Source organism: Homo sapiens, chromosome 3 (genome assembly GCF_000001405.40).
Source record: "Homo sapiens chromosome 3, GRCh38.p14 Primary Assembly".
NCBI lineage: Eukaryota > Metazoa > Chordata > Mammalia > Primates > Hominidae > Homo > Homo sapiens.
In genome coordinates this window covers 8600298-8615951 of record NC_000003.12, presented here as the reverse complement: position 1 = coordinate 8615951, position 15654 = coordinate 8600298, and the positions used below count along the sequence as shown (strand labels likewise).

Below are 15654 nucleotides of genomic sequence, written 5' to 3'. Positions count from 1 at the left end.
CTCTGTAAATAACCTTTGGCAGTATGGCCATTTTCACGATATTGATTCTTCCTACCCATGAGCATGGAATGTTCTTCCATTTGTTTGTATCCTCTTTTATTTCCTTGAGCAGTGGTTTGTAGTTCTCCTTGAAGAGGTCCTTCACATCCCTTGTAAGTTGGATTGCTAGGTATTTTATTCTCTTTGAAGCAATTGTGAATGGGAGTTCACTCATGATTTGGCTCTCTGTTTGTCTGTTGTTGGTGTGTAAGAATGCTTGTGATTTTTGTACATTGATTTTGTATCCTGAGACTTTGCTGAAGTTGCTTATCAGCTTAAGGAGATTTTGGGCTGAGACAATGGGGTTTTCTAGATATACAATCATGTCGTCTGCAAAGAGGGACAATTTGACTTCCTCTTTTCCTAATTGAATACCCTTTTTTCCTTCTCCTGCCTAATTGCCCTGGCCAGAACTTCCAACACTATGTTGAATAGGAGTGGTGAGAGAAGGCATCCCTGTCTTGTGCCAGTTTTCAAAGGGAATGCTTCCAGTTTTTGCCCATTCAGTATGATATTGGCTGTGGGTTTGTCATAGATAGCTCTTATTATTTTGAAATACGTCCCATCAATACCTAATTTATTGAGAGTTTTTAGCGTGAAGGGTTGTTGAATTTTGTCAAAGGCCTTTTCTGCATCTATTGAGATAATCATGTGGTTTTTGTCTTTGGCTCTGTTTATATGCTGGATTACATTTATTGATTTGCATATATTGAACCAGCCTTGCATCCCAGGGATGAAGCCCACTTGATCATGGTGGATAAGCTTTTTGATGTGCTGCTGGATTCGTTTTGCCAGTATTTTATTGAGGATTTTTGCATCAATGTTCATCAAGGATATTGGTCTAAAATTCTTTTTTGGTTGTGTCTCTGCCTGGCTTTGGTATCAGAATGATGCTGGCCTCATAAAATGAGTTAGGGAGGATTCCCTCTTTTTCTATTGATTGGAATAGTTTCAGAAGGAATGGTACCAGTTCCTCCTTGTACCTCTGGTAGAATTCGGCTGTGAATCCATCTGGTCCTGGAGTCTTTTTGGTTGGTAAGCTATTGATTATTGCCACAATTTCAGCTCCTGTTATTGGTCTATTCAGAGATTCAACTTCTTCCTGGTTTAGTCTTGGGAGAGTGTGTGTGTCCAGGAATTTATCCATTTCTTCTAGATTTTCTAGTTTATTTGCGTAGAGGTGTTTGTAGTATTCCCTGATGGTAGTTTGTATTTCTGTGGGATCCGTGGTGATATCCCCTTTATCATTTTTTATTGCATCTATTTGATTCTTCTCTCTTTTTTCTTTATTAGTCTTGCTAGTGGTCTATCAATTTTGTTGATCCTTTCAAAAAACCAGCTCCTGGATTCATTAATTTTTTGAAGGGTTTTTTGTGTCTCTATTTCCTTCAGTTCTGCTCTGATTTTAGTTATTTCTTGCCTTCTGCTAGCTTTTGAATGTGTTTGCTCTTGCTTTTCTAGTTCTTTTAATTGTGATGTTAGGGTGTCAATTTTGGATCTTTCCTGCTTTCTCTTGTGGGCATTTAGTGCTATAAATTTCCCTCTACACACTGCTTTGAATGCATCCCAGAGATTCTGGTATGTTGTGTCTTTGTTCTCGTTGGTTTCAAAGAACATCTTTATTTCTGCCTTCATTTCGTTATGTACCCAGTAGTCATTCAGGAGCAGGTTGTTCAGTTTCCATGTAGTTGAGTGGTTTTGAGTGAGATTCTTAATCCTGAGTTCTAGTTTGATTGCACTGTGGTCTGAGAGATAGTTTGTTATAATTTCTGTTCTTTTACATTTGCTGAGGAGAGCTTTACTTCCAAGTATGTGGTCAATTTTGGAATAGGTGTGGTGTGGTGCTGAAAAAAATGTATATTCTGTTGATTTGGGGTGGAGAGTTCTGTAGATGTCTATTAGGTCCACTTGGTGCAGAGCTGAGTTCAATACCTGGGTATCCTTGTTGACTTTCTGTCTCATTGATCTGTCTAATGTTGACAGTGGGGTGTTAAAGTCTCCCATTATTAATGTGTGGGAGTCTAAGTATCTTTGTAGGTCACTCAGGACTTGCTTTATGAATCTGGATGCTCCTGTGTTGGGTGCATATATATTTAGGATAGTTAGCTCTTCTTGTTGAATTGATCCCTTTACCATTATGTAATGGCCTTCTTTGTCTCTTTTGATCTTTGTTGGTTTAAAGTCTGTTTTATCAGAGACTAGGATTGCAACCCCTGCCATTTTTTGTTTTCCATTTGCTTGGTAGATTTTCCTCCATCCTTTTATTTTGAGCCTATGTGTGTCTCTGCACGTGAGATGGGTTTCCTGAATACAACACAGTGATGGGTCTTGACTCTTTATCCAATTTGCCAGTCTGTGTCTTTTAATTGGAGCATTTAGTCCATTTACATTTAAAGTTAATATTGTTATGTGTGAATTTGGTCCTGTCATGATGATGTTAGCTGGTTATTTTGCTCGTTAGTTGATGCAGTTTCTTCCTAGTCTCGATAGTCTTTACATTTTGGCATGATTTTGCAGTGGCTGGTACTGGTTGTTCCTTTCCATGTTTAGCACTTCCTTCAGGAGCTCTTTTAGGGCAGGCCTGGTGGTGACAAAATCTCTCAGCATTTGCTTGTCTGTATTTTATTTCTCCTTCACTTATGAAGCTTAGTTTGGCTGGATATGAAATTCTGGGTTGAAAATTCTTTTCTTTAAGAACGTTGAATATTGGCCCCCACTCTCTTCTGGCCTGTAGGGTTTCTGCCAAGAGATCTGCTGTTAGTCTGATGGGCTTCCCTTTGAGGGTAATCCGACCTTTCTCTCTGGCTGCCCTTAACATTTTTTCCTTCATTTCAACTTTGGTGAATCTGACAATTATGTGTCTTGGAGTTGCTCTTCTCGAGGAGTATCTTTGTGGCATTCTCTGTATTTCCTGAATCTGAACATTGGCCTGCCTTGCTAGATTGGGGAAGTTCTGGATGATATCCTGCAGAGTGTTTTCCAACTTAGTTCCATTCTCCCCGTCACTTTCAGGTACACCAATGAGACGTAGATTTGGTCTTTTCACATAGTCCCATATTTCTTGGAGGCTTTGCTTATTTCTTTTTATTCTTTTTTCTCTAAACTTCCCTTCTCACTTCATTTCATTCATTTCATCTTCCATTGCTGATACCCTTTCTTCCAGTTGATGGCATCGGCTCCTGAGGCTACTGCATTCTTCACGTAGTTCTCGAGCCTTGGTTTTCAGCTCCATCAGCTCCTTTAAGCACTTCTCCGTATTGGTTATTCTAGTTATACATTCTTCTAAATTTTTTTCAAAGTTTTCAACTTCTTTGCCTTTGGTTTGAATGTCCTCCCGTAGCTCAGAGTAATTTGATCATCTGAAGCCTTCTTCTCTCAGCTCGTCAAAGTCATTCCCCCTCCAGCTTTGTTCCGTTGCTGGTGAGGAACTGCGTTCCTTTGGAGGAGGAGAGGCGCTCTGCTTTTTAGAGTTTCCAGTTCTTCTGTTCTGTTTTTTCCCCATCTTTGTGGTTTTATCTACTTTTGGTCTTTGATGATGGTGATGTACAGATGGGTTTTTGGTGTGGATGTCCTTTCTGGTTGTTAGCTTTCCTTCTAACAGACAGGACCCTCAGCTGCAGGTCTGTTGGAGTACCCTGCCGTGTGAGGTGTCAGTGTGCCCCTGTTGGCAGGTGCCTCCCAGTTAGGCTGCTCGGGGGTCAGGGGTCACTTGAGGAGGCAGTCTGCCCGTTCTCAGATCTCTAGCTGCGTGCTGGGAGAACCACTGCTCTCTTCAAAGCTGTCAGACAGGGACATTTAAGTCTGCAGAGGTTACTGCTGTCTTTTTGTTTGTCTGTGCCCTGCTCCCAGAGGTGGAGCCTACAGAGGCAGGCAGGCCTCCTTGAGCTGTGGTGGGCTCCACCCAGTTGGAGCTTCCCGGCTGCTTTGTTTACCTAATCAAGCCTGGGCAATGGCGGGCGCCCCTCCCCCAGCCTCGCTGCCGCCTTGCAGTTTGATCTCAGACTGCTGTGCTAGCAATCAGCGAGACTCCATGGGCGTAGGACCCTCCAAGCCAGGTGGGTGGTGCACCGTTTTTTAAGCCCGTCGGAAAAGCGCAGTATTAGGGTGGGAGTGACCCGATTTTCCAGGTGCCATCCGTCACCCCTTTCTTTGACTAGGAAAGGGAACTCCCTGACCCCTTGTGCTTCCCGAGTGAGGCAATGCCTCGCCCTGCTTCGGCTCGCGCACGGTGCGCGCACCCACTGACCTGCGCCCACTGTCTGGCACTCCCTAGTGAGATGAACCCGGTACCTCAGATGGAAATGCAGAAATCACCCGTCTTCTGCATCGCTCACGCTGGGAGCTGTAGACCGGAGCTGTTCCTATTCGGCCATCTTGGCTGCTCCCCCACTTCCTTGCTTTTTTAAGGGATCCCTTCAGGTACTAACAATGGCAAACATTTATTAAGCTTTTCCCAAGTTACAGGCACTATTCTAACCATTTTTCAAGGGTCAGACCCTAAGTCTTCACAACAAGCTTATAAAGGAGGGGCTGTTTTTATCCCCGTTTTACAGATGAGGAGACGGAAGTCCAGAGGGTTTCAATCGCTTGCCCAAAGTCACAGAGTCGGGAAGTGCAGAGCCAGGCCACTGCCTGGTTTTAAATTCTGGGTGGAAATGCAACGTGCCGGTCAACATGGTGTGCTGGTGAGTGTGTTATCCTCAGCGGTGCCCAGGGCACAAATGTGCAGACCAGCTGACAGCAACAGCAGGCTCCCCTTTTCTCCATCAGGAACTGTCAGAGGAGGCTGGGTAAGGAGAGCAGCTTGGCCGCCTGGGGCTGCAGCTGGGAGGTCCCAGCACAGCAGCTGCTGGGTGAAAGTGGGTTGTTCTTCTTCAGTAGGAGTTGTGGGCCCAGGTTGCTTTGTTGCCGAGGCCAGCTTGGCCTCTTTGCAAGTAATTGGTAATTGTGCCATTGCACTTCCGCCTGGACAACAGAGTGAAACCTTATCTCAAAAAAAAAAAAGAATTAATAGTAATAACAATTACTGAGTACTTGGTATGTGATATGGTTTGGCTCTGTCCCCACCCATATCTCACCTTGAATTATAATAATCCCCATGTGTCAAGTGTGGGGCCAGGTGGAGATAATGGAATCAAGGGGGCAGTTTCCTCATACTGGTCCCAGGTAACCTCTTTAGCCACACCTGAGAGTAGAAACATCTTCAGTTTGGAAGGCAAGTAAGGGTCCTATCCACAGCTTCCTGCATGTGATCATTGCTCAGGGCAAGGTGACCAGTAGAGCCCTGGGTGAGCCTCCCCTCTACCAGTCATTGTGCGACTAGAATTACTTACAATGCATATTATGCAAGATATGGTGTATGTAGTACATACACACACACAACATGTATATGATTAATTGTAAAACAACTTTTGCCTTTGAATAAATCTTAGCTAAGCCCCACCCTAGCCCTGAGACCATCTCATCAATCTCTGCGAACTTAGTCTGCTCATCTGCAAAATGATCGTATTAAGAGTACCTACTCCTCCCAGACCTGTTGTGAGGACTAGAGATACGTAATTAACGGAAGGCTCTTAGAACACAGCCCGGCACATACTGTATTAATCTGTTCTCACTCGGCTAGTAAAGACATACCGGAGACTGCGTAATTTATAAAGGAAAGAGGTTTAATTAACTCACAGTTCCACATGGCTGGGGAGGCCTCACAATCATGGCAGAAGGCAAAGGGGAAGCAAGACATGTCTTACATGGCAGCAGGTAAGAGGGCATGTGTTAGGGGAACTCCCATTTATAAAACCATCAGATCTCGTGAGACTTATTCACTACCACGAAAAAGAGTGTGGGGAAGCTGCCCTCATGTTTCAATTATCTCCACCTGACCCCACCCTTGACATGTAGGGACTATTACTATTCAAGGTGAGATTTGGGTGGGGACACAGCCAAAAACCATATCACATACTAAATACTCAATAATTATTATTACTACTAATTCATTTTTTTGAGATAGGATTTCACTTTTGTCCAGGCTGTAGTGCAATGGCACGACAGGGCTCACTGTAGCCTCAAACTCCTGGACTCAAGCAATCCTCCTGCCTCAGCCTCCCAAGTAGCTGGGATGACAGGTGTGTGCCACCAGGCCCGGCTAAGTCCAATGTCACATATTGTCATTATTACTGTTACTTTTACAGTGTGGAGTCATTGTGGGACTTAGATGCATAAATGAAATAATTCCTCGCACAAAGTAAGTGCTCATTAAGGGGTACTTTATATTTTTGTTGTTATTACAAAGTTCTTTCTCCCTCATTTAATCCCCACCCCAGATGTGGAGGAAAGCTGGGATTCCTTTTCTCATTTGAAAAATGTTGAAACAGATGGATATAAAAAAAGCAAAATGTCTTGTTCCACGTTTCCAAAAGAGGAAGTATGAAAGGCGTAATTGAAATTCAAAACGTTTGGTCTGAAAATCCTACATCCTTTCTCCTAACAACCGTGAATTCTTACTAAAGGATAAGGCATTAAAGCCTTTTTTGAACCATCTTTCTCTTATGGAGGAACACAGCCTATTAAACCACACCAGCTACTAACTGCCTGCTAGGGTCTGAAAGTGTCCTCCCAGCAGTCATGTCTCCAAGGTGATGGCATTAGGACGTGGGGCCTGTCGGAGGTGATTAAGTCACTAGAGTGGAGCTCTTATGAATGGGATTAGTAACAACTTTCCTAAGAAGAGGCCAGAGAGCTAGCTCTTTCCACCAGGAGAGGATACAGGAGAAGTCAGCCATCTGCAACCTGGAAGAGGGTCCTCACCAGAACTCAACCATGCTGGCACTCTGATCTCGGACTTCCAGCCTTCAGAACGGTGAGAAATGAATTTCTGTGGTTTATGAGCCACCCAGTCTATAGTACTTCAATATCAAAGCCCAGACAGACTGAGACACTGCCTGTTTACACAATTCTATTCCACCTATCGTTTCAGTTTCGTACTTTTAGGAGTCCTTTGAGGCCCGTCTCTTTTGAAACCCATTTCAAAGATGAGAAACCTGAGGTTCAAAGAGGTTGAGCATCCTGCCCAAAGCCATGCAGCAGGTTGGGCCGGACCAGGGTCTTCTGTCTTCTGGTTCTCCAGTATGGAATCAAAGAAAGAGTCCCTTTAAATCCAGAGGAGGCTTGGGGTATGCCAAGAAGCACCCAGTGCCTCCACAGAGCAGGCTTCGTCCTTCTCCGTCTTCACCTCCCTGGCCACCCTGGCAGTCCCAACTGTGCATAAGGGCCAGCCTCTCACTGTGGCCTCCACCCCGTCTTGTAATCGGTGCCTCCTGGTGAACTTGCCATGCCTTAGAACCCATCGCTGCCTCCCTTTCACTGCACAGTCTCGGTGTGAACCTTCTGAGTGCGTCTCCCAGCACTGGACCCTGCAGCCTCTGAGCCCCACTTCCACACTCTCATGTCAGACCTGCCAGCAGGCAGTCACCTGTACATGGTATGGCTGAGCCTGAGATCTCGCCTCCCAACACACAGCTGGCTCTAGACGGGCGGGACCATTCAGAGGCAGACAGAGGGAGGTGTGTAGGGGTACAGAGGACAGATAGATGTCACTGACCCCACCAACAAATAGTGAAACAGCAGAAGGAAAACATAGATGTACACGTGGGCATTAGGACACTTGGTCGAAAGTAACGGAAACCCAACCCACGCTGGGTGAAGCAGTTTACTGGCACACAGAACCGACAAGTCTGGTGTAGTTCTGGCTCTGGGCTGGGGTGTTCCCAGAGGTTCAGGCAATGTTGTTGAACATGTTTCTTTCTACCTGTCTCCTACGTTTCCCTATCCTGCTAATGGCAAGAGGTACACCCTTAGTTTCAGGCTGGCTATGACTTTCTCAGCATTCCTGCAGCCAAGAGCTCATGACTTTCCTGGTTGCTCTACAAAAGGCCCCAGGACTGAGACTCCTTGGGCCAAACACCCTGGCTTGAGCCAGCCTAACACCAGTCTCTATGGCCCTGTGCTGAAATAAGCTGATTATCCAGGCCCAGGTCCAGGGGATGGGAACTGCCCCATCAAAACCCATCCTGGTTGAGGAGAGGGCAAACCCCGCTTCCCGCAGGAAAATTCAGGTGCCATTTCCAGAAGCGGAGGGGAATCCTGGCAGCAAAACCACCAACACCCAGGGCAGTGTTTATGCACACACTGGACACCGGGTGTCCCCAGCCAACCACTTTCCTTGTAAGACTGCAAGCTTGGACCTGTTTAATGTCACATGTGAACCTGATAAGAAACCAGGCTGGAGGGTTTCCTCTGAGGATGCAAGGGCTGGAATGGAGATTCTCTGTCTAGACTGGACTGAGTTCTTTCTGAAACTGGGCAGGACACTCAGGCTCCCAACTTTCCTTCCTTCCTGGTGCCCCCAGCAGCCACTGCTGATCGCCCTGCCTCACAGTCAGGGAGGCTGTTGAGGAAGACAAGATGCCTGTTATTTCTAAGGGACATACTCTCTCCAGGTGGTACAGAGTGCAGACTCTCCCCTGAGAAAAAGAGAGTGAATGAGGACAGCCCGGGCTGCAGAAGCCAGTGTGGTCTGCCCATTGGGCAGCAATGGGCAGGTGGCGTTGGCTCTGTGGTCATTGGTGGGCACAGGGAGTCCAAATTCTTGCAGGGGAACAAATCCAATCTGATTTTACAAACATGACAATCTTCCTGGCTCGAAGCATCTGGTTATTCTTCTCATTCCTCCAGCTTGGCTCAGAGAAAGTTTTCTCAAAGAAGGATCCACTCAGCGGCTGCCCCTTACAGCTGCAGAAAATCCTCTTTAGTTTTGCCCTGAAGCAGATAGCTGCAGATGCAGCAAACCATCCATGAAGAGATGGGATTTATATTGACAGACACATGTTTATCCAGATCAATTAGGGAAAATTATTTTTGCAACACTCCTCAAACAAGGTTTGGCAGCTAATAATCAGTTTGAGTCGTGCAATGTGAATGCCAAAAATGTGAGATGAGATGAGAAAGCTACGTGCTAGATTGCCTCTCGGGAGAGCACTGTCTGGCCGGGAAGAGACACTGTGGTGATCCTCTGGCACAGGGGGCAGGATGCTCTCTAAATTACTCTGCATAATTAAGGAGAGATAAGTTTGACATCGGGAAGGGAGTGATTGGATTGGGCAAACTGACCACTGTGTGAAGGAGTGGCAGGAGAGAGAGAGAAAGCCAGCACTGCAGAGAAGGGCCTGGGGAATGCCCATGCCCATGTGCCGGGTGGAGAACTTTCAAGGGAGATCTTGGGTGCAGGGTGACATGGACCTGCCCACGTTGTCAGGGGAAACTGTTGAGAAATCCTCAAATGCTTGGTGGATGAATCTTTTCTTTTTGCTTCTCTGGATCCTCTCCGGACCCCTCTCCACTCTAGACTGGGCCCTGGGAGGCTGTCCTGCATGGACCTCCTTGCCCTCTGGCTTTTTTGAGGGTTTGGCCAATGGGGAGCACAATACCCTGAATGTGTCCCACCAATATTCGTAGGTTGAAATCCTAACCCTGAATATGAATGCACTTTACTTTGGGGAGTAATCAGGTCATGAGCATGGAGCCTTCATGAACGGGATTAGTGCCCTTATAAGAAGAGATGCAAGGGTTTGATCTTGCTCTCTACTCTCCATCACTTGGGGATACAACAAGAAGGTGACCATCTGCAAACCAGGAAGCAGGCCCTTCCTAGACACCAGATCTGCCAGCACCTTGATCTCGGACTTCCAGCTTCCGGACTGGGAGAAATAAATTTCTGTTGTTTATAAGGCACCTAGTCTATGGTATTCTTCTGTAGCTGCCCAAACTGCCTAAGTTGGGGGCTTTACTTGGCTTTGGCCAACAAGGAGCTTTCATTTAAGCCTGGGAGGGAGAAAAGTGAGGCTGGGGATACTAGTTTCCCTATCCCCCAACTGCTGCATTGCCTTGGGCTGGTTGGGTCTCTCGACAGAAGACCTCAGCCGTGATGGAGCGGCCTTTCTCCACAGCCTTCTCTGTCTCCTGGTTCCTGAAGCTGCTCCTTCCTTGGCCCCTGCTGTTAATAGCTCTAGGGAGTCACATAATCCCTTGGGGTTTCTATAAGCCTTGCCCATACCTTGACAAAATTTCCCTCCATTGAACACACCCCCAAATAATCCTGGTTTGAGTGAGATGGCTGTTTCCTGCTAGGACTCTGACAGACCCACTTGGGATGAGTGCTTTTCTCATGGAAGCCAGTCTAGGACATGCGTTCTGGGTCCTGGGTGAGCGGCTGAGCAGCAAGTTCACACTAGGGAAGAGTTGGCTTGTAGGTTAAAGCAAACACATTTGGGAGCTGTCTGGGAATATCCCAGCAGCCTGGCTGCCCCTTGAAGCCATTCCCGTTTGCAACTCCAAACTTCGAGGCTGAGTGGGGGAGGGATAGCATTAGGAGAAATACCTAATGTAAATGAAGAATTAATGGGTGCAGCAAACCAACACAGCACATGTATACATATGTAACAAACCTGCACGTTGTACACATGCACCATAGAACTTAAAGTATATAAACAACAACAACAACAAAAATCTACATACTTCAGTGTGAAAAAAAAATATCAGAGCAGTCCCAGGAGCTCACCCAGGCTAGGGCCCCTTAGGCCATTATGGAGAGGTCTTTCATTAACTGAGACTGGGAACAACTAGGATCTGAAGACACAGAAGGTAGGAGATTGAGAACTGCTGATGTGACCATTTTGCTGATGTGGAAACTGAGGTTATAAGAGGTTCAAGGTCACAGGTCAAGTAGACAGCAGCATTGAGAAAGCCATAGAAACGTAAAAACATGCCTTGGTCCGAGATCAGATGCTGAGCCCGAGTGTTTATAGGCCATGTCTAGGCAAGTCAGCTAGGAGGGTTCTGGGGTGCTGAGATTGAAAAGATGTTTCTCTGTTTTTCTGATTACAAAAGTAATTCAGATTCATTACAAAATATTTTAAAAATATGGCATAAAGTAAAAATCACCCAGAATCTTACCACTTAGACACAACTCATATTTACCATATTTCCTTCCAGGCTTTTTTCTTCAATATAGCTGCAGTCATTCCCTTCTTATAACTTTGTTTTCTACATTTTTTTCTTAGCATTATGAGTAAGCATTCTTTGTAAACGTGATTTTTAGAACTTCCTTATTTTGTCACATAGATTGCCATAATTTGTTTATATAACCAACTCGTAATCATTCCCATAATAGTGGCATTTACTTTTTTGGTCTCTAATTTTTAATTTTTTGCTATTATAGTTAATGATACATACTTATATATGTATGTAACTAATGTATACAAACCCTGTACTTACATATTTGTGTTCACGTACAATTATTTCCTTCATTTAGAGTCCTAAAAGTGGAATTACAGCATGATAGAAAACATGAACATTTTTCAGAGTCCTGATAAATATTGATGACTTGCTTTCCAGGAAATTGGTACAGCAGGCCCTCAAATATGGTCATTTTGTTCAACACTGTTTTGTTGTAATGTTGATGAAAAAAAAATCCATTCCCGGTTGGGGCCACTGTGTGTGTATGGAGTTTGTACGTTCCCCTGTGTCTGCGCAGGTTTTCTCTGGGTACCCCAGTCTCATCCCACATCCCAAAGATATGCTGCAGGTGAATGGGCGCCCTCAGTTGTCCCAGTTTGAGTCTGTGTGGGTGTGTGAGTGAGTGTGTCCCAAGGTAGGATGGTGTCCTGGCCAGGGTGGGTTCCCACCTTGTGCCCTGAGCTACAGGGACCGGCTCTAGCCACCCACGACCCTGACCTGGAGTAAGCAAGTTGGAAAATGAATAAATGAATGAGCATGAATTATTATAAAATAATAATTCATAAAGTCCACAATAATCCTACAAATGCACAACAATAAACAATTTGGTACGAAAGCGCTGAGCAAGCCACCGTATTTGTGACTGTTGGTGTTTGAACTGAGTGGTGGTAGGAGGTGCTTCTGACAATGTTTGCTTTGCATATATTTATTCCTTGATTTAACTCACTCACTGATTCACCAAAAGTTTAGTAAATAATTCTTACTTGTTTTTATTAATATTTATTAGATATATGTGTATCCTACATTTATTTCAGTGTTTGCTATTAGAGTGTTTTGGGTCTTTCTTTAGAAGTTGGGAATGATTTTGTGACCAGAATTATGCCATAGGAACTTAACTCTTGTTTATATCAATTAGCCCATGGTCAAACTGGTTTTGTTACATGTTGTTTTGCTGAAAATCTCAGTTTCAGAGATCCTATCAAAGACGTTAAGTGAGGACTTAGTGTGCTAAAAACATTTCTCCTGCCAGTCCCCTAGGACAGTGTGTGTCTCAATGCATGGAGTTTAGTAGGGGCTTGCTTCCAGGCATTGGCTCCACTCCAGATCCCAGCCCCTCCCCCAGGCCTTGCCTTGCTTCCGGGTTTCACTTCCATTGGTCTTAAAGGTGACCCCATGCCGATTAGTGAGCGCACGGTGTGCGTGAGGGTTCCAAGAGTAATATGTGCCTACTTTCTACTTTCCAGATGTTTCTGCCCTCTGGGGCCAATTCCACCACTCCCTGGAAAGTGATGTGATGACCCTGGGCTTGAGTCCAAAGAACATAGGAGAGTTTTGGCAGGTCGATGGTGTGTTGGTGCCAACCCACTTAGAGCGAAAACTGTAAGTTGAGTTCACGTGGATGAACATATCAGCATCTGCCTCACATGAATTCAGAGGGCACCACAGCCTCCTCTCAGAGACTTCTTGGGCAGCCAGATCCATTTGGAGGAGAAGTGAGCAGGGTGTGATTTAGAAAGTATTTATGTATGGGATGTTGATGGAAGGTGTATTAGTCCATTTTCACGCTGCTGATAAAGACATACCCGAGCCTGGGAAGAAAAAAAGGTTTAATTGGACTTACAGTTCCACATGGCTGGGGAGGCCTCAGAGTCATGGTGAGAGGCAAAAGGCACTTCTTACATGGTGGTGGCAAGAGAAAATGAGGGAGATGCAAAAACGGAAACCCCTGATAAAACCATCAGATCTCATGAGACTTATTTACTACCACGAGAACAGTATGGGAAAACCACCCCCATGATTCAAACTGTCTCCCACTGGGTCCATCCCACAACACGTGGGAATTACGGGAGTGCAATTCAAGATGAGATTTGGGTGGGACACAGAGCCAAACCATATCAGAAGGGTAAATATTTTCTAGATGTGGAGACCTGGAGACACTGGCCTGTGGAGACCATTAGTACAAAGTCAACAGTAGTAAAAGAAGTGGAAACTTAGCCTGTCTGAGCCTCAGCTTCCTCCTCTGTGTGGGTTAATGTTGGAAAAGTTTTCTTGGGCATTTTCCACCGAGCACACATTTACCCATGTGCACGAGTGTGCACACACACACATGCACACACACACAAATCCATCCCAAATTTATGTTCTATTGCATTATGAAGTTGCTGGATGGTGGATAAATCCCACCTCTTACCTATTTTAATTTTCATCTTCCTACTACTTATCCCGATGCTAGAAATGCATTTAGTGGATTATTAGAAGTAGCTATGGAAACCCTGGACAAGGCCCTCTCCCCATCACTACCCTGGGGCCTCACCATTGCCTGTGACTGGGTATAGCTCATTTAAATACTAACTTTAAAAATGCAATTAAGAAAGTAGATCTTCAGGGCTTGTGTTTGGGCTTATCCAGTATTTATGTAGTCATCTTGCATTGCTCTTCTCCCTGAGTGTGGGCAACTTAGAGTTGCTGGATGTGACCATCTTATAGATGTGGAAACTGAGGCTGAGAGAGGGGCCATGTCTAGCCCCAAAGCATTCACTTGGCGAGTGGTAAAACCAGGAAAACAATGCATACCTCCAAATTCCAGGCTGGTGCTTTACTTACTTTACCCATGATTTTAAAGAGGTAAACTCCCTTAGAAAATGTGTCTTAAACAAATCTTCCCTTTTTTTACCTTTTGAGAGGGGGTCTCACTCTGTCACCCAAGTTGAAGTGCAGTGGGGCCATTTCAGCTCATTGCAACCTCTGCCTCCCAGGCTCAAGTGATCCTTCCACCTCAGCCTCCCATGTAGCTGGGACCACAGGCGTGTGCCACCACACTCAGATAATTTTTTGTATTTTTGGTAGAGACAGGGTTTCATCGTGTTGCCTAGGCTGGTCACAAACTCCTGAGCTTGGGTAATCCATCCAACACAGCCTCCCAAAGTACTGGGATTACGGGCTTGAGCCACTGTGCCTGGCTACACAAATCTTCTCAATTCATAAACAGATGGAAGTAGTGAGAGGCGGTAGGTGTGGCCCAGAGTCTCATCCACTACAGGTTTCTGAAGCAATTTTGTGGATCTCTATAGTTCTGCTTAGAAATCAGTGGGGTCCACCAAGCCTGCCCCCTTCCTTCACTTCTGCTTTCATTCATTTATCCACTTAACAAACTTATGATGAGTACTCACCATATCTTAGGCTCCAGGCTCAGCTTAAATGAACGACCTGGGATCCTTCCAATAAATTCCCTGTCTTTGCCTTTTTTTCCTTTCTTAAATTACTCAGAGTTTTTCCTGTTGCTTTCCATCAAGAAATCCTAATAGGTGCAAAGAGTTTATACTATTTAGTGGGTGAAGCCCCTTTGAAAGATTTTAGGTGGGGAAAGATTTGAGTGTTATATAGACTGTGCTGATGGCTTAGAAAGAATGACTGACTTCCCATATGAGAAGGAGGAGATAGGCGTACAGCAGGTTGGTTAGGTAGTATTGAAGTCGAGGAAAGAAATACTGAAAGTCTAAGGTAGGTCAGTGATTCAACTAAAGGCAGGAGGGTGTAGTGATTAATAGCTTGGACTCTAACCACAGACCAGGGTTCAAATCCTGACCCTGCTGCTTACCTGGTGTGTAAACATGGGCAGTTTATTTAACCTCTCCAAATCTGTTTCATCCTCTGTAAGACAGACTGGATAACAGCATCTCTGCTTGTGAGGGATTCACTGAAATAACTAAAATGGAGGTGAAGCACAATGCCTGGTTCATAAGAAGCATTCAGTAAATACTATTGGCTATTGTTGGTGATAATGGTGATGATGATGATCATGACAGTGATCATTGATAGTGATGATAATGGTTATGATAATGATGATGGTGATGATGATGGTGGTGATGACAGTGATGATATTTATGATGTTGATGATAATGGTTATGATAATGATAGTGATGATGATGGTGATGATGACAGCAATGACATTGATGATAGTGATGATAATGATGACACTGATGATGGTGATGATGATGATGATAATGGTTATAATGATGGTGATAATGATGATGGTGGTGATGACAGTCATGACATTGATGATGGTGATGATGATGACAGTGAAAGTGAGCATGGTGATTGTGATGGTAATGATAATGATGGTTATAACTATGAAGGATGGAGATGATAAGTGAGATATGAGGGGAAAGGCAAGGATGATTCCTGAAGTTCTAGGCTAGGTGATGGCAGGATACCTTTTTGAGAAAAAAAAAAAAACATACAAAATGTATTCGTATGGTCCTGTGCTTTTTGGAATTGAAAAGTTGGATAACTTAATCCCAATCAATTAAGGTTGCCTTCTTTTTT

At 44.7% G+C, this 15654-nt stretch overlaps 1 long non-coding RNA gene across 1 annotated transcript in view, besides 2 other annotated features; it reads left to right on the top strand.

Annotated features, from left to right (window-relative positions):
• Positions 3512-4392: an enhancer, noted in NCBI's record as "NANOG-H3K27ac-H3K4me1 hESC enhancer chr3:8653246-8654126 (GRCh37/hg19 assembly coordinates)". NCBI's record gives its function as "activates a minimal SCP1, AML or CMV promoter by ChIP-STARR-seq in naive and primed H9 embryonic stem cells {active_cell/tissue: H9 hESC(naive and primed)}" and the evidence as "EXISTENCE:reporter gene assay evidence [ECO:0000049][PMID:30033119]".
• LOC107986009 (uncharacterized) overlaps positions 4009-15654 on the top strand; it is a 38712-nt gene continuing 27066 nt past the window's right edge. Inside the window, exons 1-4 of the long non-coding RNA XR_001740420.3 lie at positions 4009-4094; positions 4593-4724; positions 6360-6895; positions 12573-12708. This is a non-coding gene — a long non-coding RNA (uncharacterized LOC107986009). The remainder of the gene's footprint in view (positions 4095-4592; positions 4725-6359; positions 6896-12572; positions 12709-15654) is intronic.
• Positions 4393-5274: an enhancer, noted in NCBI's record as "H3K27ac-H3K4me1 hESC enhancer chr3:8652364-8653245 (GRCh37/hg19 assembly coordinates)". NCBI's record gives its function as "activates a minimal SCP1, AML or CMV promoter by ChIP-STARR-seq in primed H9 embryonic stem cells {active_cell/tissue: H9 hESC(primed)}" and the evidence as "EXISTENCE:reporter gene assay evidence [ECO:0000049][PMID:30033119]".